At 36.2% G+C, this 26,324-nt stretch overlaps 1 protein-coding gene across 2 annotated transcripts in view; it reads right to left on the bottom strand.

Moving 5' to 3' along the window:
• METTL15 (methyltransferase 15, mitochondrial 12S rRNA N4-cytidine) overlaps positions 1-26,324 on the bottom strand; it is a 424,088-nt gene that overhangs the window by 123,494 nt on the left and 274,270 nt on the right. The window contains exon 9 of one of the 2 annotated variants that reach the window (XR_007062458.1): positions 15,139-15,220. The exons of the other annotated variant lie outside the window; for it this stretch is intronic. The gene's annotated coding sequence lies outside the window, so the exon portion shown is untranslated. The remainder of the gene's footprint in view (positions 1-15,138; positions 15,221-26,324) is intronic. 2 annotated transcript variants of the gene reach the window in all.

Genomic DNA, 26,324 nt, shown 5'->3' with positions numbered 1-26,324 from the left:
TATATGTTTGTTAGGCCCATTTGGCCTAAAGTGTAATTCAAGTCCAGTATTTCCATGTTAATTTTGTGTTATTGTTGAAAGAGGGTGTGGTAAACTTTTCTTTAAAAATACTTAAAAATATAAAGGAAAAACTTAGTTTGCTCAGAGATACATACCTGATCAATTTAAGGTATTTACTTCAAGATTTGATATATATGTACATGTGTGTGTGTGCATGTGTTTGAAAACCATATTTATATTATAAAATTGAAATGACGCTCTCAATATAATGTTGTATATTACATATGTCAGTAAAATATTACATGGGCTTTTTCACATCATTAAGTAGTCTTTGAAAAATGTGATTTTGATAGCTATATGACATTTTACCATATGATCATTTATTTATCCATTCCCCTATTATTACATATTATGTCTTTTCCAATTATTATTAACTATTTTTTTACAATTAATACATTTAAAAACTATTCTTATACATGATTATTTCCTTATAATGATTTCTGAAGTGGAAATGGTGGAGTGAAGGTTGTGAATAGAGTTAACCTGACAGGACATCAAGCCAGTATAACTGAGAGAGAAAAGCTTGAAATAGAAACAGAGGTGGTTTTAGCTAGCACGGTTTTCTTGTTGTTGTTGTTGTTGTTGTTTTTAATGTGATGTAATTATATTTTACATTCTGGGATTCATATGCAGGACGTGCAGGTTTGTTACTTAGGTAAACGTGGGTCATGGTGGTGTGCTGCGCCTATCAACTCATCACCGAAGTATTAAGCCCCGCATGCATTGGCTATTTATCATGATGTTTCCCCCACCCCACCCCCTGAACCAACAGGCCCCAGTGTGTATTGTTCCCTTACCTGTGTCCATGTGTTCTCATAGTTCAGCTCCCACTTATAAGTGAGAAAATGTGGTGTTTGGTGTTCTGTTCCTGAATTAGTTTGCTGAAGATAATGGCTTCCAAGCTCCATCCATGTCCCTGCAAAGGCCACAATCTTGTTCCTTCTTATGGCTGCACAGTATTCCATGGTGTATATGTGCCCCATTTTCTTTATCTAGTCTATCATTTATGGGCATTTGTGTGATTTCATGTCTTTGCTATTGTAAATAGTGCTGCAGTGAACTTATGCATGCATTTATCTTTATAATAGAATGATTTATATTCTTTTGGATATATATCCAGTAATGGGATTGCTGGGTCAGATGATATTTCTGGTTCTCGGTCTTTCAGGAATCAACACACTGTGTTCCACAATGGTAGAACTAATTTACATTCCCACCAACAGCGTAAAAGCATTCCTATTTCTGCACAGCCTCACCAACATCTGTTGTTTCTTTACTTTTTAATAATCGCCATTCTGACTGGCATGGGTATCTCATTGTGGTTTTGATTTGCATTTCTCTAATGATTAGTGATGTTGAGCTTTTACTAATATTCTTTTTGGCCACATAAATGTCTTCTTTTGATAAGTTTCTGTTCATGTCCTTTGCCCGCTTTTTAAAGGGGTTGTTTTTTTTCTTGCAAATTTGTTTAAGCTCCTTCCAGATGCTGGATATTAGACCTTTGTCAGAAGGATAAATTGCAAAAATTTTCTCCCATTCCACAGGTTGTCCATTCACTCTGATGATAGTTTCTTTTGCTGTGCAGAAGCTCTTTGGTTTAATTAGATCCCATTTGTCAGTTTTTGCTTTTGTTGCAAATACTTTTGACGTTTTCATCATATCTGCCCATGCCTATGTCCTGCATGGTATTGCCTAGATTTTCTTCCAGGGTTTTTACAGTTTTGGGTTTTACTTTTAAGTCTTTAATCCATCTTGAGTTATTTTTTGTATAAGGTGTAAGGAAAGAGTCCAGTTTCCCTGATGAACATCAATGCAAAAATCCTCAATATAATACTGGCAAACCGAATCCAGAAGCACATCAAAAGCTTATCGACCACGATTGAGGTGGCTTCATCCCCAGGATGCAAGGCTGGCTCAACATATGCAAGTCAATAAACATAATTCATCACATAAACAGAACTAAAGACAAAAGCCACCTGATTATTTCAATAGACACAGAAAAGGTCTTTGATAAAATTCAACATTCCTTCATGCTAAAAACTCTCAATAAGTTAGGTATTGATGGGACATACCTCAAAATAATAAGAGCCATTTATGACAAACCCGCAGCCAATATCATACTGAATGGGCAAAAGCTGGAACCATCCCCCTTGGAAACTGGCACAAGACAAGTGTGCCCTCTCTCACCACTCCTATTCAGCATAGTATTAGAAATTCTGGCCAGGGCAATCACGCAAGAGAAAGAAATAAAGCATATTCGAACAGGAAGAGATGAAGTCAAACTGTCTCTATTTGCAGATGACATAATCCTATATCTAGAAGATCCCATTGTCTCAGCCCAAAAGCTTCTTTTTATTATTATTATACTTTAAGTTCTAGGGTACATGTGCATAACATGCAGGTTTGTTACATATGTATACTGGATTAAGAAAATGTGGCACATGTACACCAAAAGCTTCTTAAGCTGATAAGCAACTTCAGCAGTCTCAGGATACAAAATCAATGGCAAAAATTACAAGCATTCCTTTACACCAACAATAGGCAAGCAGAGAGCCAAATCAGGAATGAACTCCCATTCACAAATGCTACAAAGAGAATAAAATACCTAGGAATACAGCTAACAAGGGAAATGAATAACCTCTTCAAAAAGAACTACAAACCACTGCTCAAGGAAATAAGAGAGGACAAAAACAAATGGAAAATATTGTGAAAATGGCCATACTGCCCAAAGTAATTTATAGAATCAATGCTATTCCCATTAAACTACCATTGACATTCTTCACAGAATTAGAAAAAAAACTATTTTAAAATTCATATGGACCAAAAAAGAGCCCAGATAGCCAAGACAATCCTGAGCAAAAAGACAACGCTGGAGGCATTGTGCTACCTGACTCCAAACAATACTACAAGTCTATGTTAATTAAAACAGCATGGTACTAGTACAAAAACAGACACAGAGTCCAATGGAACAGAATAGAGATCTCAGAAATAAGACTGCACACCTACAACCATCTGATCTTTCTTCAACAAACCTGACAAAAGCTAGCATGGTTTTCATAATTGAATATGAGAGGTGGGTATGCCAAAGCAATAATCCTTCATAAAATAGTGGCTATGTATTTCCAACAATCATTTGAAATGGGAGCTTAGACTAAAGACTTGTAAATCTACAGCAGAGTTCTACATAGCATGTGCTGCAGATTATTCATCACACGAGATTTTCATAGATGTTAACATTTCAAAAGTGTTCTGAGGTATAGTGATTTTAGAGTCAAACAGAATTTGTTGCTATTACATTTTACTGTAGGTCTTCCCAGAGCCCGTAATGTTCTCACACGCTTTTGAACACACCAAAAGGAGAATATTATATGGAACATTTTCCAGATTTATTTGACCACAAAAACTTCTGTGCACTAAGTAACCTGAGAAAAAAGTTTTCTGTGGAACAGAGGATTGAGCAAAATTACTCTGAATGGAATTGAGAAAAAGTAAATTGTAGTTAAGGCCAAATGGGAAAACCAGGTCAAAATAAGTTAGAATAAGTTTAATGATCATATGGCAAGCACTGCATGTCTTGAAATCTTGCTTTTAATTTGAATTCCTTATTTATCTCTTTAAAAACACTGATTGATCTATATTCCTGTTAGTGCATAGCTCTAAATAAAAGTAATATTTGGCAGACTGTGAACTTAATCTCATCATGACATGCTTTTGAGGAGAGCACATAATATAGTGAAAAAGTCCTAGACCAGGAGTTAGGACAAAGTGGTCAGCTTTGCCATTAGCTAGTTTTGTGAGCTTAGAACAATAGCCCAAGCTCCATAAGCTTTTGTTGGCACGCTGCAGCTGTACAATGAATGTTTGTTCAATGAATGATTTAAACTAGATGTTCAGAAACTTTTAAATCATTCTTATTTGGTATCATTTATGGGCTTGAAGAAGATCTAATCAGTCTTTCTATGATTGGTCTTACAAATATTAAGCTCTGACATAATCATAATCTCTACTTCAGATTCACAGTATTTTTAATAATGATGCTATCAAGAGGAAGATGGGTCATTATTCAACTTCTTATTAACAATACAAAAATAAATGCGCCTCTGTCCTGTCTTTTGCCTGGACAGACATTTGCACTCCAAGGATCAGGGGCCTTGCTCATCTACATTTTCTGCATTATCTTCGCAGTGCGACGTTGGCCTATGGTTTATTTTGTCTTCCACAATATAGATGTTTAACCTGGGGATACTAAGCTTCAAAGGGTCTGTTATAATCTGAATATTTGTGTCCCCTCAAAATGCATATGTTGAAACCTAATCACCAATGTGATGGTGCTAGGAGGTGGGGGCCACTGGGAGATGATTAGGCTATGACAGCTCCACCCTAATGAATGGGATAAATGCCCTTATAAAATTGGCCCCAGAGAGCTGCCTTGCCCCTTCCACCATGTGAGGATACAGCAAGAAGATGCCACCTATAAACCAGGAAGTAAGCCCTAACCAGACAACAAATCTGCTGGATCCTAGATCTTGGATTTCCCAGCCTCTAGAACTGTGAGTAATACATATCTATTATTTATAAGCTATTCAATTTAGGGTATACTTTGTTATAGTAGTAGTAACAATTTATGGTAATTGTTTTGTTATGGTAGACAGAATGAAGTATGGCAGGATCCTTGGACCCCACGGAACTGTGTGTAACAATTTCTTTTTATATGGGCACATTTATTTTTCTGGAGAGAGACTCCATAGCTTTTAATAAACTTCCAAAAGGTATCTTTAATCTCTCAAAATATTAAAAAATATTGCTTATGGGTTTTTTAGTTTTTTCCTGTAGACCTTCTCTATGCTCATGTTTTCTAGGGTTTTTGAGGGAATACATGAAGAACAAAAAAGCCACAAACTAAAGCTTATGTTGAACACAGTGGTCTAAGTTATTGCTACAGTAATTTACCCATCATCAGAATGTATAACAGCAGAAATCACAGGATACAGAAATCAGCATGGTTTTTAAAAAAAGAATAAGAAGCTATTTAGAGTCATTTTTACTCCTCTTTGCTTCCCCAAGCCCCTGCCCATGCATGAGGAAAAAGAAAACTTGCAAGAAAAATGTCCTAATGATATGTTATAAAAACAGCTTTGCCATTATTGGCAAAAAATGACATAAAAACATTAACCCATTTCTTAGTCATGTTCCTGAAGTCCTTAAAGATAAACATTTCTATGAAATTGTCTTGTGTCATGAGAGTATCTATGACATGGTTCATTGTGTGTGGTTTTTTATGGATAAGATTTCTGGGAAAACCTATGCATGGGATAATTGGGCAATATTCCACCTAATACTGACTAATTTTGGTCATATATTGTTTTCTCCTGTATGCTCCTGAGCTCCAAGACCCAAGTTATTAACCCCTATTCTAGATTGAAATCCCAAATATACATACACCTCTGAACATCATTGTGTGATACTGATGATGACAAAATGTGGATGACAATGATAGCTAATACTGATTTAGTATTTAGTATATGCCTCAGAAAGCTTTTGAGGTCATTACTAACAAGTTTACAGACAAGGAAACTAAACTGTAGAAAAGTTAGGTAACTTATCCTGGAGCACAGAGCCAGCAAGAGGCCAAAGCAGGACTCAGACTCAGTCATATTCCAGCACTTATCATGCTATTTGGCCCAGGTCGGTAGTGTCAGACTTGAATTGAATTAAAGAACACCCAAGCTAGTGTCCACTGGAGAATCCACTGGAGAATTGCTTGGTATGTCAGGAAAACCCCCCATACATCTGCTGTCAGAAATGTCAAATGACTGAAAGTAGAGATCTTGCAGTAACATTTAAATTGACTCCTGAACAATGAACAGAAGATGGATGAGCAATGAGCAAGAATGTTCCAGGCAGAAACAATGATTTCTTTTCCTTTGGGTGGATGGGACTGGAGGCCACTCTGTTTCTGAGTGAAATAACTCAGAAACAGAGAGTCAAATATCATGTTTCACTTATAAGTGGGAGCTAAAAAATATGTACATAAAGACATAGAGAGTGGAATGACAAACATTGGAGACTCAGGAGGCTGAGAAGGTGGGAGAGGGTGAGGGATAAGAAATTACTTAATGGGTACAATGTACACTATTTGGCTATGGCTACATTAAAAGCCCAGACGTCATCACTAAGCAATATATTCACGTGACAAAACTGCATCTGTATCCCTTAAGTCTAAAATTAGACTACAAATTGAAATTTTAAAAAGTTAGAAATTTTAAAATTAAAAAAATTAAAATTAAAAAAAGTTAAGTATTTAAATGTGGCTCTGCCTCTGAAAGTGACAGATGCAAGGGTCCAGAAGCAAGAGCCATATTTGGGAAATTCCAAGTGATGAACGTCACTAGATTTCAAGGTGGGAGTGGTAGTGAGAGACAATGAAAAAGTAGTAAGTAGGGTATAGATCCAGAAGGATTTTGGGTGACATTTAAGGATTTAAACTTTATCCTGAAGTCAGAGAATCACTGGAGACTATAAATTGGGTAGGGAGTAGTGATTGGACTTAGCTTGGCTACAGAGCAGAGAAGGAATGAGACAGAACCAAGGCTGAATGATAGCAAGGGGATCAGCTAGGAGACTGTTTCAGCAATCTAGGCTAAGGAAAGTAAAGGCACTGGAGAGTATTTAGGAGGCAGAATCCACAGGTTGGATTGACTTGTTGCCACTGGTGAGGGAAAGGAAGGAGGCAGAATGACATTCCAGTTTCTGGCTTAGTTGGCTATTGTATAATGGTGACATTCCCTAACAGAGACCTAAGTAATAGAAACAACTCTGTTCACAACGTTTTTGACCTATCTAGAATATTTCATAAAGGTTCTAGAAACTACCAAAACACTCTTGGATAGGTTTTAGAAGGCTTCATGCACATGAACTGAATGCTTGCTTTAGGTGAGAGTTTTTATGTTAATTTTACATTCACTGACAAGGAAAAAAATAAGTCACTAAGTACATTTATTAAGGTACACTTTTGTAGCTTAACATTATAATATTTTTCATAGGGACCTTGAATTACAATGAAAGTAAAATAAAGTTGTTGCAGGAGTGACTTCTCTGAGCTATCTTTGAAGTATCTTGCTATCGAAGTAATTTGGCCTCAAGAACTTATGAATTACAAAGGAGTAGTGGTTTTTTTTTAGTCACTCTTAACTAGCCAAATGAGGATTGAGATCTTCATCAAAGCCAAATAAGTGCTTCCCTCTGGAGTTCAGCAAGAGCCAAATGCAGGTCTGCTGTGCACTCTGAAGGCATTCAGTTATTTATCCTTGTGTGTGGGCTAGTATGGGCTTCGCTGGTATTGCTGCTTACAATCCTCATCGAAAAGAAGAAGGATTAAAAAAGTTAAATACATGAGACAGAAATTATTAAAACAATTACTCACTAAAAGCACAGAGATAAAAAGAGTATGGTCAATAAAAGGAGAAAAACATAAATCACACACATATGAGAGAAGACCAGAAAGTTCTCTAAATTTGAAAAAATTAAAATGATGAAACAAATTCTGAGTAATAATTACTAAAAAACAGATTAAGAGATTACTTCTTAATGGAAGTCTATGGGTAAAGTCCCCTCCAAATGATTATCCCAGGCAGGTATTTGTGGACAGTAGCCATAGGCAGCTGATTCTTCCTCCAGGCAAGTCATAATGATTGTAGTGAAGATAATCAATTCCCTAACTTAGGCATTTTATTAAATTGAAACCACAAACATGGCACTCTCACATCCACTGAAATCAGTAGATTTTTGACAAAATTAAAATGACAACATTTGCCACTGGCATGTCATTTACTTTAGGAAGAATTACGCCAAATACAACTCTATCTTTTGCTCTAATGAAAACTTGCTGGCTATTTTTAAAACAGAGATTGGTAATGACTTCTTCTTGACAGCTGTTCACACGCACGAATTTTTGTACACCACATAGACTTAATGTTCTTTGTCCAATGGAAATCTTGTGATTAACAAGATAAATAAGTCACTGCTCTTCAGTGTTTTCAATTCTGTTCAATTCAATGGTGATTGAGGCTGGTTAGGAGAAATTGCTTGTTTTTCCAATTTCGATGTTATGAAAACACATTGTTGTGGTTAGGAAGCATTATGAGACCCATCTAAATTTAGCAAACATTTTCAATCCCTTGACCAAGCCCACCCACAGTAGTGGATGAAACTTTGATTTTATCCACACTCATGTGGGTAATGTAAACCCCTCAGGTTCTGTATAGACCACTGAGCAAGAAAGCTGAATGCAGAAATGTCAGGAAAATATGTAACCTTTGGACCTCAAGAGGGGTGAGGGATGGGGGGAACTCAGACTCCACTGACAAATTCAAGTTGGTTTTAAACTGTTTCTCAATTTATCCACATCAGATCTCCTTTGTTTGCTCAGAAAGCAGCTGGAAGAGTGACTAATTAGGGGAAGCCAGCTTGATGTTTATCTGAGGTGCTGGACTCAGCAATCCCTATGGTTCACATCTGAGTGGGAGGTCAGTCCAAGGTGTCATATCTCCCCTCCATGTTAATAACTTTGAGTGCAGTCATGCTTTCTTAAAGGCTTAACAAATGTGTAAGCTTAAAGCGAAGCTTGCGTCACTGAAGTCAAATGAAGCTGCTTTGTATGGTATATGACTGCCACAGTGAAAAAAAAAAGAGAAAATTTGCTTTATAAAATGCTACACATAGTAGATGATCAATAAATGATGGCTGAATAAATTGTAACCATTTAAACAAAAGGCCAAATCTATGATCCCAAATCAAATCTGTATGGCAAGATTTCTCTTTCTTTACTGCTTAAGTACGGTGGAAGAATGTGAGGACGGGGAGAAGAAAAGGGTGATCTAAGATGAGGCAAATCCAGCTAATTGCAAGAATTTCTTTAAAGTCTTATTATCTTAAAAGTTCATACAAATATTACATGCTACGTTGTGGTATATAAACATTTATTTATGGCTTCAGGTACTCCCTTGCTAAATACTTTGAGAAGCATGACAATCTGTCATTCTCCCTGATTATGTTAACCCAAGAAAAGTTTAGAAAAGGACTTTGGGAATGACTAAATACCTAACCTGAATTTATACATCCCAATATTTGTGCAAATTATACATAAAGATTTTTTAAAATTTTATTTTTGGCATTTCATTATCAATAAGGAAATGCATTTTGATAGTAGATTAGAAAGATTTTATATCTTAATATGTGGAATTGTATATTAAGGGAGAAAGGCATGTAACGAATGAATGTGTATCAACCACTTATGTGTGCATAAGGTGTGTATATGTCACTACTATACTGTAGAATTAGAGGTTATAAAAATTAGCTAATATTCTAATATATGTGCTATGAAGATAAATGATTGTTTAAAAATCCTCTTGAAAATTAGACACATTGCTTTATGATCACACCTTATGCAAATATGAGTGTGTCTTATATAGAAGTTTTCTGCAAAGGATGAAAGGAGAGTTTCATTTTCCCTAATAGTAGCCGCAGGTAAAAGAGAATGAAATTCCCTTAGTCTTGATGCATGAAAAATAATTCTAGGGCTTTTATGGTTTTAGGTCTTACATTTAAGCCTTTAATCCATCTTGAGTTAATTTTTGTGTAAGGTGTAAGGAAGGGGTCCAGTTTCAGTTTTCTGCAAATGGCTGGCCAGTTTTCCCAACACCATTTATTAAATAGGGAATCACTTACCCATTGCTTGTTTTTGTCAGGTTTGTCAAAGATCAGATGGTTGTAGATGTGCTACGTTATTTCTGAGGCCTCTGTTCTGTTTCATTGGTCTATATCTCTGTTTTGGTACCAGTATTATGCTGTTTTGGTTACTGTAGCCTTGTAGGATAGTTTGAAGTCAGGTAGTGTGATGCCTTCAGCTTTGTTCTTTTTGCTTAGTATGGTCTTGGCTATATGGGCCCTTTTTTGGTTCCATATGAAATTTAAAGTAGCTTTTTCTAATTCTGTGAAGAAAGTCAATGGTAGCTTGAGGGGAATAGCACTGAATCTATAAATTACTTGGGCAGTATGTCCATTTTCACAATATTGATTCTTTCTATACATGAGCATGGAATGTTTTTCCATTTGTTTGTGTCCTCCATAAAAACCCTAGAAGAAAACAGAGGCAGTACCATTCAGGACACAGGCATGGGCAAAGACTTCATGACTAAAACACCAAAAGCAATGGCAACAAAAGCCAAAAGTGACAATGGGAGCTAATTAAACTAAACAGCTTCTGACAGCAAAAGAAACTATCATCAGAGTGAATAGGCAACCTACAGAATGTGAGAAAATTTTTGCAATCTATCCATCTGACAAGGGGCTAATATCCAGAATCTACAAAGAACTTAAACAAATTTTCAAGAAAAAACAACCCCATCAAAAAGTGGGCAAAGGATATGAACAGACACTTCTCAAAAGAAGACATCTATGCGGCCAGCATACATATGAAAAAAAGCTCATCATCACTGGTCATTAGAGAAATGTAAATCAAAACCACAGTGAGATATCATCTCATGCCAGCTAGAATGGTGATCATTAAAAAAGTCAGGAAACAACAGATGCTGAAGAGGATGTGGAGAAATAGGAACTTTTTATGGTTTATCAATTTTTGTTTATTATTTTAAAAACCAAATTTTTGTTTCATTTATCCTTTTTTGAATTTTTTTATTTTTCTAATATACTTTAAGTTCTGGGGTACATGTGCACAACGTGCAGGTTTGTTACATATGTACACATGTGCCATGTTGGTGTGATGCACAATTAGGTATATCTCCTAATGCTATCCTTCCCACCTCCCCCCACCCCACAACAGGCCCTGGTGTGTGATATTCCCCTTCCTGGTCCAAGTGTTCTCACTGTTCAATTCCCATCTATGAGTGAGAACATGCGGTGTTTTGGTTTTTTGTCCTTGTGATAGTTTGCTGAGAATGATGGTTTCAAGTTTCATCCATGTCCCCACAAAGGACATGAACTCATCATTTTTATGGCTGCATAGTATTCCATGGTGTATATGTGCCACATTTTCTTAATCCAGTCTATCATTGATGGACATCTGGGTTAGTTCCAAGTAATTGCTATTGTGAATAGTGCCACAATAAACATACATGTGCATGTGTCTTTATAGCAGCATGATTTACAATACTTTGGGTATATACTCAGTAATAGGATGGCTGGGTCAAATGGTATTTCTAGTTCTAGATCCCTGAGGAATCGCCACACTGACTTCCACAATGGTTGAACTAGTTTACAGTCCCACCAACAGTGTAAAAGTGTTCCTATTTCTCCACATCCTCTCCAGCACCTGTTGTTTCCTGACTTTTTAATGATCGCCATTCTAACTGGTGTGAGATGGTATCTCATTGTGGTTTTGATTTGCATTTCTCTGATGGCCAGTGATGATGAGCATTTTTTCATGTGTCTTTTGGCTGCATAAATATCTTCTTTTGAGAAGTATCTGTTCATATCTTTCACCCACTTGATGGGGCTGTTTGTTTTTTTCTTGTAAATTTGTTGGAGTTCATTGTAGATTCTGGATATTAGCCCTTTGTCAGATGAGTAGATTGCAAAAATTTTCTCCCATTCTGTAGGTTGCCTGTTCACTCTGATGGTAGTTTCTTTTGCTGTGCAGAAGCTCTTTAGTTCAATTAGATCCCATTTGTCAATTTTGGCTTTTGTTGCCATTGCTTTTGGTGTTTTAGACATGAAGTCCTTGCCCATGCCTATGTCCTGAATGGTATTGCCTAGGTTTTCTTCTAGGGTTTTTATGGTTTTAGGTCTAACATTTAAGTCTTTAATCCATCTTGAATTAATTTTTGTATAAAGTGTAAGGAAGGGATCCAGTTTCAGCTTTCTACATATGGCTAGCCAGTTTTCCCAACACCATTTATTAAATAGGGAATCCTTTCCCCATTGTTTGTTTTTCTCAGGTTTGTCAAAGATCAGATGGTTGTACATGTGTGGTATTATTTCTGAGGGCTCTGTTCTGTTCCATTGGTCTATTTCTCTGTTGTTGTACCAGTACCATGCTGTTTTGGTTACTGTAGCCTTGTAGTATAGTTTGAAGTCAGGTAGCAGGATGCCTCCAGCTTTCTTCTTTTGCCTTAGGATTGTCTTGGCAATGAGGGCTCTTTTTTGATTCCATATGAACTTTAAAGTAGTTTTTTCCAATTCTGTGAAGAAAGTCATTGGTAGCTTGATGGGGATGGCATTGAATCTATAAATTACCTTGGGCAGTATGGCCATTTTCATGATATTGATTCTTCCTATCCATGAGCATGGAATATTCTTCCATTTTTTTGTGTCCTCTTTTATTTCATTGAGCAGTGGTTTGTAGTTCTCCTTGAAGAGGTCCTTCACGTCCCTTGTCAGTTGGATTCCTAGGTATTTTATTCTCTTTGAAGCAATTGTGAATGGGAGTTCACTCATGATTTGGCTCTCTGTCTGTTATTGGTATATAAGAATGCTTGTGATTTTTGCACATTGATTTTGTATCCTGAGACTTTGCTGAAGTTGCCTATCAGCTTAAGGAGATTTTGGGCTGAGACAATGGGGTTTTCTAAATATACAATTATGTCATCTGCAAACATGGACAATTTGACTTCCTCTTTTCCTAATTGAATACGCTTTATTTCTTTCTCCTGCCTGATTGCCCTGGTCAGAACTTCCAACACTACGTTGAATAGGAGTGGTGAGAGAGGGCATCCCTGTCTTGTGCCAGTTTGCAAAGGGAATGCTTCCAGTTTTTGCCCATTCAGTGTATTGGCTGTGGGTTTGTCATAAACAGCTCTTATTATTTTGAGATACGTCCCATCAATACCTAATTTATTGAGAGTTTTTAGCATGAAGGACTGTTGAATTTTGTCAAAGGCCTTTTCTGCGTCTATTGAGACAACCATGTGGTTTTTGTCTTTGGTTCTGTCTATGTGCTGGATTATGTTTATTGATTTGTGTATGTTGAACCAGCCTTGCATCCCAGGGATGAAGCCCACTTGATCATGGTGGATAAGCTTTTTGATGTGCTGCTGGATTCGGTTTGCCAGTATGTTATTGAGGATTTTTGCATCGATGTTCATCAGGGATATTGGTCTAAAATTCTCTTTTTTTGTTGTGTCTCTGCCCGGCTTTGGTATCAGGATGATGCTGGCCTCATAAAATGAGTTACGGAGGATTCTCTCGTTTTGTATTGATTGGAATAGTTTCAGAAGGAATGGTACCAGCTCCTCTTTGTACCTCTGGTAGAATTAGGCTGTGAATCCTTCTGGTCCTGGACTTTTTTCAGTTGGTAGGCTATTGCCTCTATTTCAGCCTGCTATTGGTCTGTTCAGGGATTCAACTTCTTCCTGGTTTAGTCTTGGGAGGGTGTATGTGTCCAGGAATTTAACCATTTCTTCTAGATTTTCTAGTTTATTTGTGTAGAGGTGTTTACAGTAATCCTGAAATAGGTGGGGTGAGGAACCTGGGCAATGCCCTACAATGTCCACCAAAATAATCTCTGTTCAGTCTCCAAGGATTATACAGGAACTCATTTACCATCCCTCAGAAAGTAGACACAGTATTAATTATCTTGCCATCCCTATTCCTTAACACAGTGCCTGACTCCAAGGAGGTGCTCAAGAAAATTTTGCTGACTGGCACACCTCTGAATATCAGAATCTAGTCTCTTATGCTGCACCTAACACTAAACACAAAAGACAAAAAATCCTGAGTCCCCAAATTCTGAAAGCAGAATCATGTCCCTTCTGAAGCAAAAGGGAATTGTGGGCAAACGATAATTGTCAAGTGAGGGCAGAGAATTTTTCAAATACAATAAGCTTGTGGAAGAAACTCTCCAAAAATTGATTTCATTAATTTTTATTGTAATTATGGCTGATTACTTACGATCAGCTCATCATTACTGCAGATTTCAAAAACGGTTGTGTATAGTAGGGAGAAATCAGCCATTGTGGCATCTTAAATATGATTGTTTTGAATGAATGGTTTGATTCATTATGCTTATACTTAATAAGTATCTATTATGTATCAGACATCATGGTGTATAAATAAAGGTAAGTAACACATGACTGTTTCATAGTCCAGGAGAGAGATCAGCACAAACTAACAATTACAGAAAAGGAATTATAGCAAAGGTAAGGATTTTGTTGGAAAAGTCATAGAAGCCACTTCCAGTAGACAGCAGCAATAATGTCTTTAAAAAGATGAAGAATCATTAGTATCTTTATGTGTACAACTCTTTTTCAGTGGAGAATCTTGTCATAAGATAAATCTAATATCTTCAGTGCATGTGGACCTCCCAGCAGAGGAAGATTTGAACTGAAAATGTCCGTGAAACATTTTAAGAATTTTTTAGTATTGAGAACTTTCATTCTCTGCCACCTCCAAGACCACACTCCTTTTTATAACTTCCACCCCCCTCCTTGTGAGCCAGAGTGTGTGAGTGAAATAACAAAAAGAGGGCAGAAAAGAAAATTAGGCCCAAATATGACTGAATATGACCATTAGAGCTGTGCAAATTGAATGATGCCAAAGTTCACTCACATCCCTCAGCATTTGTGTTGTGAATGAAAGCTTTTCTAACTCTTCCTGCTCCTTCTTAACTTCCCTTATGGAGATATTTTTCTTTGTTAACCATCTGTTAATTAACAGAAATGGAACTCTTATATGTCATAGAGCCTGTGATAATGAAATATAATTGCTCAAGATTGTTCCTTCCTTCCCTTACTGCCTTCTCTTCTCCCCTCTCTCTCTGCTCTGCCACTTCTTTCATTAATCTTTGGACAAAACATGACGCACAAAAATAATAAGGCACCAACCCTACTTACAAGGTGCTCAGCCTAATGGAAAAGTCAGACACATAAAAAGGTAATTATAGCAGACTGTATACATTTAAAACTACACATACACAAACACACACATACACACACATACATATTTTTTAAAAATCAGGAGTATGGATGGAGGAGAAGCAGTTGCTCAATTTGGGAGATAATTTAAAGGAAGGCTTCCTAGAGGCATAACACCTAAGTTCTAAAGAATAATGTGGTTGTAGCCAACCTTCAAGATGACTTCCAATGGTCTTCATCTTCTGGTGTTCACATCCGTATATAGTCTCTTCCTACAGTGAACCAGGGCATACCTAAGTGACCAAAAGAGTACTGAAGAAGTAATGGTGTGTAATTTCCAAGGGTAGATCATAAAAGGCATTATGGCTTCTGCCTTGGTCTCTGATATCACTTGTTCTGAGAGAAGGCAGTCTCCATGCTATGAAAACTCTCGAGTAACCCTGTGTGTAGGCCCAGGTAGAGAGGCTGTCTGCCAACAGCCAGCCCCCGTTTGCCAGCCACGGGTCATTTTATCATTTTGAAGCTAGATCGTCCAGCCAGCTGTCTTCAAATAGCTCCAGCTGGCATCTAACATCAACACCAAGCCAGAAATGCCTAACTAAGCCACTTCAAAATTCCTGACCCATAGACACCGTGAACAATAATAAATGATTATCATTTCTTTAAACCACTAAATTTGGGGTAATTTGTTATTCAGGATTTCCATTTTTAAAGACTAAATATTTCATTGTATGTATATACCACATTTTCTTTATCCATTCATTTATAAATGGACATTTACGCTACTTCCACCTCTTGAAACTTTTTTGAATAATGCTGCAATGAGCAAGAGTGTGTAAATACCTCTTTAAAATACTGTTTTCAATTCCCTTAAATGTATATTCAAAAGTAAGATTGAAGGATCATATGGCAATTTTATTTTTAATTTTTTTGAGAAACTTCCAGGCTGTTTTCCATAATGGCTGCACCATTTTACATTCCCACAAAAAGTGCACAGGCATTCCAATTTCTCCACATCCTTGCCAATAGCACTGGTTATGTTCTGTTTTGCTTTTTTTTCTTTTTTTTCCCCGTTGTCATTCTAATGATTGTGAGGTGATATCTTATCATTATTTTGATTTGTATCACCCTAATGATCAGTGATGTTCAACATCTTTTCATAAGCCTGTTAGCCATTTGTATATCTTCTTTGGAGAAATGTCTATTCAAGGACTTTCCCCAGTTTTTAATTGGTTATTTGTTTTTTTGTTTTTGTTCAGTTGTAGATCTTTATATATTCTGGATATTGACCCCTTTTCAAACAATGTGGTTTGCAAATATTTTCTTCCATTACATAGTTTGCCTTTTCACTCTGTTGTTTCCTGTGATGTGCAAAACTTTTTAAGTTTGATATAGTACCATTTGTCTGCTTTTGCTTTTTTTGCTTTTACTTTTGTTATTATATCCAATAAATCACTGCAAAATCCAATATCATGAAGCTTTCCCCTATATTTTCTTCTGGCATAGTTTCACATCTTACGTCAAATCATTAATCTGTTTCCTATATCATTTGTTGAAGAGACTATCTTTTCCACATTATATAACCTTGGCACCCTTGTTTAAGATCATTTGACCATATACCAAAGGGTCTATTTCTGGGCTTTCTATTCTGTTCCATGAGTCTATATGTCTGTCCTTATACCAATTCTACACTGTTTTAATTACTTTAGCCTTATAACTTGTTTTGAAATCAGGAGTTTGAGGCATCCAGCTTTTTCTTTCTCATAATTGCTTTGGCTTTTCAGGGTATTTCTGATTCCATATGAATTTTATAATTTTTTATTTCTTTGAAAAGTGTCATTGTTTTTCATATGTCTTTTGGCTGCATAAATGTCTTCTTTTGAGAAGTGTCTGTTCATATCCTTTGCCCACTTTTTGATGGGGTTGTTTGTTTTTTCTTGTAAATTTGTTTGAGTTCATAGTAGATTCTGGATATTAGCCCTTTGTCTGAAGAGTAGATTGCAAAAATTTTCTCTCATTCTGTAGGTTGCCTGTTCACTCTGATGGTAGTTTCTTTTGCTGTGCAGAAGCTCTTTAGTTTAATTAGATCCCATTTGTCAATTTTGGCTTTTGTTGCCATGCTTTTGGTATTTTAGACATGAAGTCCTTACCCATGTCTATGTCCTGAATGGTATTGCGTAGGTTTTCTTCTAGGGTTTTTATGGTTTCAGGTCTAACATTTAAGTCTTTAACCCATCTTGAATTAATTTTTGTGTAAGGTGAAAGGAAGGGATCCAGTTTCAGCTTTCTACATATGGCTAGCCAGTTTTCCCAGCACCATTTATTAAATAGGGAATCCTTTCCCCATTTCTTGTTTTTGTCAGGTTTGCCAAAGATCAGATAGTTGTAGATAAGCGGTGTTATTTCCGAGGGCTCTGTTCTGTTCCATTGGTCTATATCTCTGTTTTGGTACCAGTACCATGCTGTTTTGGTTACTGTAGCCTTGTAGTACAATTTGAAGTCAGGTAGCGTGATGCCTCCAGCTTTGTTCTTTTGGCTTAGGATTGACTTGGCAATGTAGGCTCATGATTATCTCAATAGATGCAGAAAAGGTCTTTGACAAAATTCCACAATGCTTCATGCTAAAAACTCTCAATAAAATAGGTATTGATGGGACGTATCTCAAAATAATAAGAGCTATCTATGACAAACCCACAGCCAATATCATACTGAATGGGCAAAAACTGGAAGCATTCCCTTTGAAAACTGGCACAAGACACGGATGCCCTCTCTCACCACTCCTACTCAATATAGTGTGGGAAGTTCTGGCCAGGGCAATTAGGCAGGAGAAGGAAATAAAGGGTATTCAATTAGGAAAAGAGGAAGTCAAATTGTCCCTGTTTGCAGATGACATGATTGTATATCTAGAAAACCCCATTGTCTCAGCCCAAAATCTCCTTAAGCTGATAAGCAACTTCAGCAAAGTCTCAGGATACAAAATCAATGTACAAAAATCACAAGCATTCTTATACACCAATAACAGACAAACAGCGAGGCAAATCATGAGTGAACTCCCATTCACAATTGCTTCAAAGAGAATAAAATACTTAGGAATCCAACTTACAAGGGACGTGAAGGACCTCTTCAAGGGGAACTACAAACCACTGCTCAATGAAATAAAACAGGATACAAACAAATGGAAGAACATTACATGCTTATGGGTAGGAAGAATCAATATCATGAAAATGGCTATACTGCCCAAGGTAATTTATAGATTCAATGCCATCCCCATCAAGCTACCAATGCCTTTCTTCACACAATTGGAAAAAACTACTTTAAAGTGCATATGGAACCAAAAAAGAGTCCGCATTGCCAAGTCAATCCTAAGCCACAAGAACAAAGCTGGAGGCATCATGCTACCTGACTTCAAACTATACTACAAGGCTACAGTAACCAAAACAGCCTGGTACTAGTACCAAAACAGAGATATAGATCAATGGAACAGAACAGAGCCCTCAGAAATAACACTACATATCTACAACTATCTGATCTTTGACAAACCTGAGAAAAACAAGCAATGGGGAAAGGATTCCCTATTTAATAAATGGTGCTGCGAAAACTGGCTAGCCATATGTAGAAAGCTGAAACTGGATCCCTTCCTTACACCTTATACAAAAATTAATTCAAGATGGATTAAAGACTTAAATATTAGACCTAAAACCATAAAAACCCTAGAAGAAAACCTAGGCATTACCATTCAGGACATAGGCATGGGCAAGGACTTCATGTCTAAAACACCAAAAGCAATGGCAACAAAAGCCAAAATTGACAAATGGGATCTAATTAAACTAAAGAGCTTCTGCACAGCAAAAGAAACTACCATCAGAGTGAACAGGCAACCTACAGAATGGCAGAAAATTTTCACAACCTACTCATCTGACAAAGGGCTAATATCCAGAATCTACAATGAACTCAAACAAATTTACAAGAAAAAAACAACCCCATCAAAAAGTGGGCAAAGGATATGAACAGACACTTCTCAAAAGAAGACATTTATGCAGCCAAAAGACACATGAAAAAATGCTCGTCATCACTGGCCATCAGAGAAATGCAAATCAAAACCACAATGAGATACCATCTCATACCAGTTAGAATGGCAATCATTAAAAAGTCAGGAAACAACAGGTGCTGGAGAGGATGTGGAGAAATAGGAACACTTTTACACTGTTGGTGGGACTGTAAACTAGTTCAACCATTGTGGAAGACAGTGTGGCGATTCCTCAGGGATCTAGAACTAGAAATACCATTTGACCCAGCCATCCCATTACTGGGTATATACCCAAAGGACTATAAATCATGCTGCTATAAAGACACATGCACACGTATGTTTATTGTGGCACTATTCACAATAGCAAAGACCTGGAACCAACCCAAATGCCCAACAATGATAGACTGGATTAAGAAAATGTGGCACATATACAACATGGAATGCTATGCAGCCATTAAAAATGATGAGTTCATGTCCTTTGTAGGGACATGGATGAAATTGGAAATCATCATTCTCAGTAAACTATCGCAAGGACAAAAAATCAAACACCGCATGTTCTCACTCATAGATGAGAATTGAACAATGAGAACACATGGACACAGGAAGGGGAACATCACACTCTGGGGATTGTTGTGGGGTGGGGGGAGGGGGGAGGGACAGCATTAGGAGATTTACCTAATGCTAAATGACGAGTTAATGGGTGCAGCACACCAGCATGGCACATGTATACATATGTAACTAACCTGCACATTGTGCACATGTACCGTAAAACTTAAAGTATAATAAAAAAAAAGAACTAGAAATACTATTTCACCCAGCCATCCCATTATTGGGTATATACCCAAAGGATTATAAATCATGCTGCTATAAAGACACATGCACACGTATGTTTATTGAGGCACTATTCACAATAGCAAAGACTTGGAACCAACCCACATATCCTACAACGATAGACTGGATTAAGAAAATGTGGCACGTATACCCCATGGAATACTATGTAGCCATAAAAAAGGATGAGTTCATGTCCTTTGTAGGGACATGGATGAAGCTGGAAACCATCATTCTCAGCAAACTATCACAAGGACAAAAAACCGAACACTGCATGTTCTCACTCATAGGTGGGAATTGAACAATGAGAACACATGGACACAGGAAGGGGAACATCACACACCGGGGCCTGTTGTGGGGTGGGTGTAGGGGGGAGGGATAGCATTAGGAGATATACCTAATGTTAAACGACGAGTTAATGGGTGCAGCACACCAACATGGCATATGTATACATATGTAACAAACCTGCACGTTGTGCATATGTCCCCTAAAAGTTAAAGTATAATAAAAAAAAAGAAAAGTGTCATTGTGATTTTGATGGAGATTGCATTGAGTCTGTAGAATACTTAAGTATGTATGGACATTTTAACAATATTGTCTTGTAATCCATGAACACAGAATGTCTTTACATTTATTTGTTTCTTTTAGTATTGCTTTCAGCAACGTTTTGTAGTTTTCAGTGTAAAGTATTTTTCTTCCTTGGTTAAATTTATTCCTAACTGTTTTATTCTTTTGTTGGTATTATAAATAGGATTATTTTCTTAATTTCCTTTTTGCCTTGTTCTGTGTATAGAAATGCAATTGATTTTTTTGTGTTGATTCTATATCATGCAACTTTCTTGAATCCATTGATTAGTTCTAACAGGATTTTCTTGTGTGGAATCTTTATTGTTTTCTACATATAAGATTATATCATTTGTAAATAGTGATAATTTCACTTGTTTTTTCTACTTGTATAAGTTTTATTTCTTTTTCTTGGTTAACTGCTCTGGCTAAGACTTCCAGCACTATATTGAATAGAAGCAGTGAGAGTGAGAATCTTTGCCTTATACCTGATCTTAGAGAAAAAGATCACTAGAGGAAAAGATGTTAGTTTTTCACCACTATTATGTTAGTTATGAGTTGTTTATATATGGCATTTATTATGTTGAGGTAATTTATTCCTATTTCTAGTTTGTTTAGTATTTTTATCACAAAAGTGTGTTGAGTTTTCTCAAATACTTTTTCTGCATTAATTGAGATGATCATGTAAATTTTGTCCTTCATTCTGTTAATGCAGTATGTTACACTGAATTGACTTTCATTTGCTGAACCATATTTGCATTGCAGGACTCAATCCCACTTGGTTATGGGATATTTGCATTGCAGGACTAAATCCTTTTAAAGTATTTGCTAGTATTTTGTTAAGGAAATTTGTCCCAATATTCCTCATGGTTATTGGTATGTAGTTTTCTTTTCTTACAGCATCTTTGTCTGATTCTGGTATCAGAGTAATGCTGGCATCAAAAAAATGAGTTTGAAAGCATTCCTTCCTCTTCAGTTTTTTGAAAGAGTTTCAGAAACACTGGTGTTAATTTTTCTTTAAATGTTTTCCAGAAGTCTCCAGTAAAGCCATCTTGTCCTGGGCTTTTCTTTGCTGGGAGGTTTTTAATTACCGATTTAATCTCCCTACTAGTTATAGGTCTGTTCAGGCTTTTTATTTTTTTATAATTCGGTTTTGGTAGTTTGCATGGTTCTGTAAATATATCCATTTCTTCTAGGTTATCCAGTTTTTAATGTACAATTATTCATACTATTATATCATGATCTTTTATTTTAATTTCTGTGGCATTAGTTGTAATATCTCCTTTTTCATTTCTGGTGTTTGTTATTTGATCATCTTTTGTCTAGCTAAGAGTTTGTCAATTTTGTTGCTCTTTTCAACAAAACAGCACTCAGTTTCATTGATTTTTATCTCTTGTTTTTATATTGTCTATTTTATTTATTTCTACTCTAATATTTATTAGCTCATTTCTTCTGCTAACTTTGGGTTTATTTTGTTCTTTTTCTATTTCTCTGAGGCATAAAATTAAGTTGTTGATTTAAGATCCTTCTCCTTTTAACGTAAGTGTTTATGACTATAGCCTTCCAGAGCCCTTAGTACTGCATTTGCTGGATCCTATAAGTTTTAGTATGCTATGTTTTAATTTTCATTTTTCTCAAGATATTTTTGAATTCCCTTGTTATATGTTCTTTGACCCAATGATTCTTCAATAGTGTTCTTAATTTTCACATACTTGTAAATTTCATGGTTTTCTTCTGCTATTAATTTTTAGTGTTATTTCATTATAGTTGGAAAAGATATTTGGCATGAGTTCAATCTTGTTAAATTTGTTAAGACTGATCTTGTGATCTAACACGGAATCTATTTTGGAGAATGTTCTGTGTGTATTAAAGAATGTACAATGTGTTGCTATTGGGTACAGTGTTATATATGTGTCTGTTAGGTGCAATTGGTCTATAATGTTGTCCACATCCTCTATTTCCTTATTAAGCATCTGGTTGTTCTATCTACTACTGAAAGTAGAGTATCCTAATATTAACGTGTTATCATTTATTTCTCCTTTCAATTCTGTCAATATTTGCTCATATATTTGGGTGCTCCAATGACAGACATGTTTGTATTATTGTTATATCTTCTTGGTGAATTGATTTTTATATCATTATATAATGTTTTTCTTTGTCTCATGCAACAATTTTTAACTTAAAGTCTATTTTTTTTCTGATGTAAGTATGATCAACCCTGTTCTCTTTTAATTACCATTGTCATGGAATATCATTTTTCATCCTTTTGCTGATGTTTATAGTGAATCTCTTGTAGACAGCTTATAGTCGGATTTTGTTTTTGTTTTTATCCATTCAGCCTGGGGCATTTAATTTATTTACATTTAAAGTAATTACTGATAGGGAAAGATTTAAAACTGCCATTTTAAACTGTTTTTTTTATAACTTGTTATTTTGTCATTCTTTACTCTCTTACTGCCTTTCTTTGTGTTTTGTTGATTTTTTGTAGTGACATGCTTGATTTCTTTCTCGTTTTCTGTGTATATCTTCTATAGGTATTTATTTTGTGGTCACCATGGAGATTACATAAAACATTTCATAGTTATAATCATCTATTTAGAACTGGTAACAACTTCAATCAGATACAAAAACTCTAGTCATTTATTTCCCCCATACTTTGTTTGTTATATGTATTTTGTATCCATTAACATAATTTTACAATTACAGCTATTTGTTATGCTTTTATCTTTTAAATTGTATGCACAAATCAAAAGTGATTTATGAGACTTCTGGTTCCAAAATGGCAGCATAGAAGTACTGGCCTCATTCCCTATCCCCTCACACACACACACAGAAAATTAAAAACAAACATGTAATGCAAAGATTATCATCAGCTAGAATGAATATTGTTAAAATGGCCATACTGCCTGAACAAATTTACAGATGCTATTTCTACCAAACTACCAGTAACATTCTTTGCAGAATTAGAAACAACTATTTTAAAATTCACATGGAACCTTTTTACAAAAGGTCCAAATAGCCAAGACAATCCTAAGCAAAAAGAACAAAGCTGGAAGCATCATGTTACCCAACTTGAAACTATACTACAAGGCTATAGTAACCAAAACAGCATGGTACTAGTACAAAAACAAACACATAGGCCAATGGAACAAAATAAAGAGCACAGAAATAAGGTTGCATATCTGCAACCATCTAATCTTTGACAAAGCTGAAAAAAACAAGCAGTGGAAAAAAGACTCCTTATTCAACAAATTGTGCTGGGATAACTAGCTAGCCATATGCAGAAGGTTGAAACTGGATCCCTTCTTACACCATATACAAAAACCAACTCAAGATGCATTAAGGACTTAAATGTAAAACCCAAAAGAATACAACCCTGGAAGACAATCTAGGTAATACTATTCAGAACACAGGAATGAGCAAAGATTTCATAACAAAGATGTCAAACGCAATTGCAACAAAAGCAAAAATTGACAAATGGCTTCTAATTAAACTAAAGAGCTTCTGCACAGCAAAGGAAACTATCAACAGAGTAAACAGACAACCTACATAATGGAAGAAAATATTTGCAAACTATAAACTTGACAAAAGTCTAATATTAAGCTTCTTTAAGGAACTTAAATAAATGTACAAGAAACCATCAAACAATCCCATTAAAAAGTGAACAAAGGACATGAATTGATACTTTTCAAAAGAAGACATATATGTGGCCAGAAAGCATGGGAAAAAGAGCTCAACATTACCAATCATTAGAGAAATGCAAATCTAAACCACAATGACATAACATCTCTCACCCATCAAAATGGCAAGTATTAAAAAATAAAAAAATAACAGATGCTGGCAAGGTTAGGAAGAAAAAGGAGTGCTTATACACTGTTGGTGGGAGTGTAAATTAGTTCAAACATTGTGGAAATCAGTGTGGCAACTCCTCAAAGACCTAAAAACAGAACTACCAGTCGATCCAGCAATCCCATTACTGAGTATATACCAAAGGAATGTAAATCATTCTATCATAAAGACACATGTGGCTGGGTGTGGTGGCTCATGCCTGTAACCACAGCACGTTGGGAGGCCAAGGCAAGTGCATCATCTGAGGTCAGGAGTTTGAGACTAGCCTGGCCAACATGGTGAAACCACATCTCTACTAAAAATAAAAAAAATTAGCCGGGTATGATGACGCATGTCTGTAATCCCAGCTACTTGGGAGGCTGAAGCATGAGAATCGCTTGAACCTGGGAGGCAGAGGTTGCAGTGAGCCAACATCATGCCACTGCACTCCAGCTTGGGTGACAGAGTGACACTTTGTCTCAAAAAAAAAAAAGAAAGAAAGAAAAACAAAGACATCTGCATGCATATGTTTAGTGCAGCACTACTTACACACTATACACAACAGCAAAGACATTGAATCAACCAAAATGCCCATTAATGGTGGATTGAATAAAGAAAATGGGGTATATATACACCATGGAATACTTTGCAGCCATAAAAATGAACAATATCTTATCCATTGCAGGGACATAGATGGAGCTGGAAGTCATTATCCTTAGCAAACTAACACAGTGATAGAAAACTAAATAACACATGTTCTCACTTATAAGTGGGAGCTAAACAATGAGAACACAGGGACACATAGAAGGGAATAACAGACACTGGGGCCTACTTGAGGGTGGAGGGATAAGAGAGAGAATCAGGAAAAATACTAATGGGTACTAAGCTTAGTCACTGGATGACAAAATAATCTGTACAACCAATCCCCATGACATGAGTTTACCTATCTAACAAACCTCCATGTGCATCCCTGAACTTAAAATAAAAGTTAAAAAAATAATAAAAATAAAAGTGGTCAAAGGACACTAATAGACACTTTTGAAAAGAAGACATACACATGGCCAAAAAGCATAAGAAAAAAATGCTCAACATCACTAAACATTAGAGAAATGCAAATCAAAACCACGAGATACTATCTCACACTAGTCAGAATGGCTACTATTAAAAAGTCAAAAATAACAGATGCTGGTGAGATTGTGGAGAAAAAGGAATGCTTACACACTGCTGGTGGGAATGTAAATTAGTTCAGCCATTGTAAAAAGCAGTGTGGCAATTCTTCAGAAAACTTAAAATAGAATTACCATTCAACCCAGCAATACTATTATTGGTTATATACCCAAAGGAATATAAACTATTCTACCAAAAAGACACAAACACATATATGTTTATTCCAGCACTATTCACAATACCAAAGATGTAGAATCAAACTCAATGCCCATCAATGATAAACTGAATAAAGAAAATAAAGTACATATTTAACATGGAACACTACCCACCCATAAAAATAATGAGATCATTTTCTTTGCAGCAACATGGATGGAGCTGAAGGCTATTATTCTGAGCAAACTAACATAGTAATAGAAAACAAAATATCGCATGTTCTCACTTATAAGTGGGAGCTAAACAATGAGAACACATGAACACAAAGAAGGCGACAATAGATACTGGGGCCTACCTGAGAGATAAAGGTAGGAGGAGGGAGAGGATCAAATCTACCTTTCGAGTACTATGCTTATTACCTGAGTGATAAAATAATCTGTACACCAAACCCCCATGACATGCAGTTGACCTATATAACAAACTTGCACATGTACCCCTGAACCTAAAATAAAAGTTAAAAAAAAAAAAAAGATTGTCACCATCACCAATATCCCAGAATTCAAATGTGAGGATCAGACAGGACCCAGGGCCACAGAGAAGTACAAAAACTCCAAGAAGGCATAAGATAATTGAACTTTCTTTTTTTTTTTTTGAGACGGAGTTTCACTCTTGTTGCCCAGGCTGCAGTGCAGTGGCGCTATCTTGGCTCACTGCAACCTCTGCCTCCTGGGTTCAAGCAATTCTCCTGCCTCAGCCTCCCAAGTACCTGGAATTACAGGCATGCACCTCCATGCCTGGCTAAGTTTTTGTATTTATAGAAGAGATGGGGT

Source organism: Homo sapiens, chromosome 11 (assembly GCF_000001405.40).
Source record: "Homo sapiens chromosome 11, GRCh38.p14 Primary Assembly".
Classification (NCBI taxonomy): Eukaryota; Metazoa; Chordata; class Mammalia; order Primates; family Hominidae; genus Homo; species Homo sapiens.
This window is presented reverse-complemented; position numbering and strand designations above follow the sequence as displayed.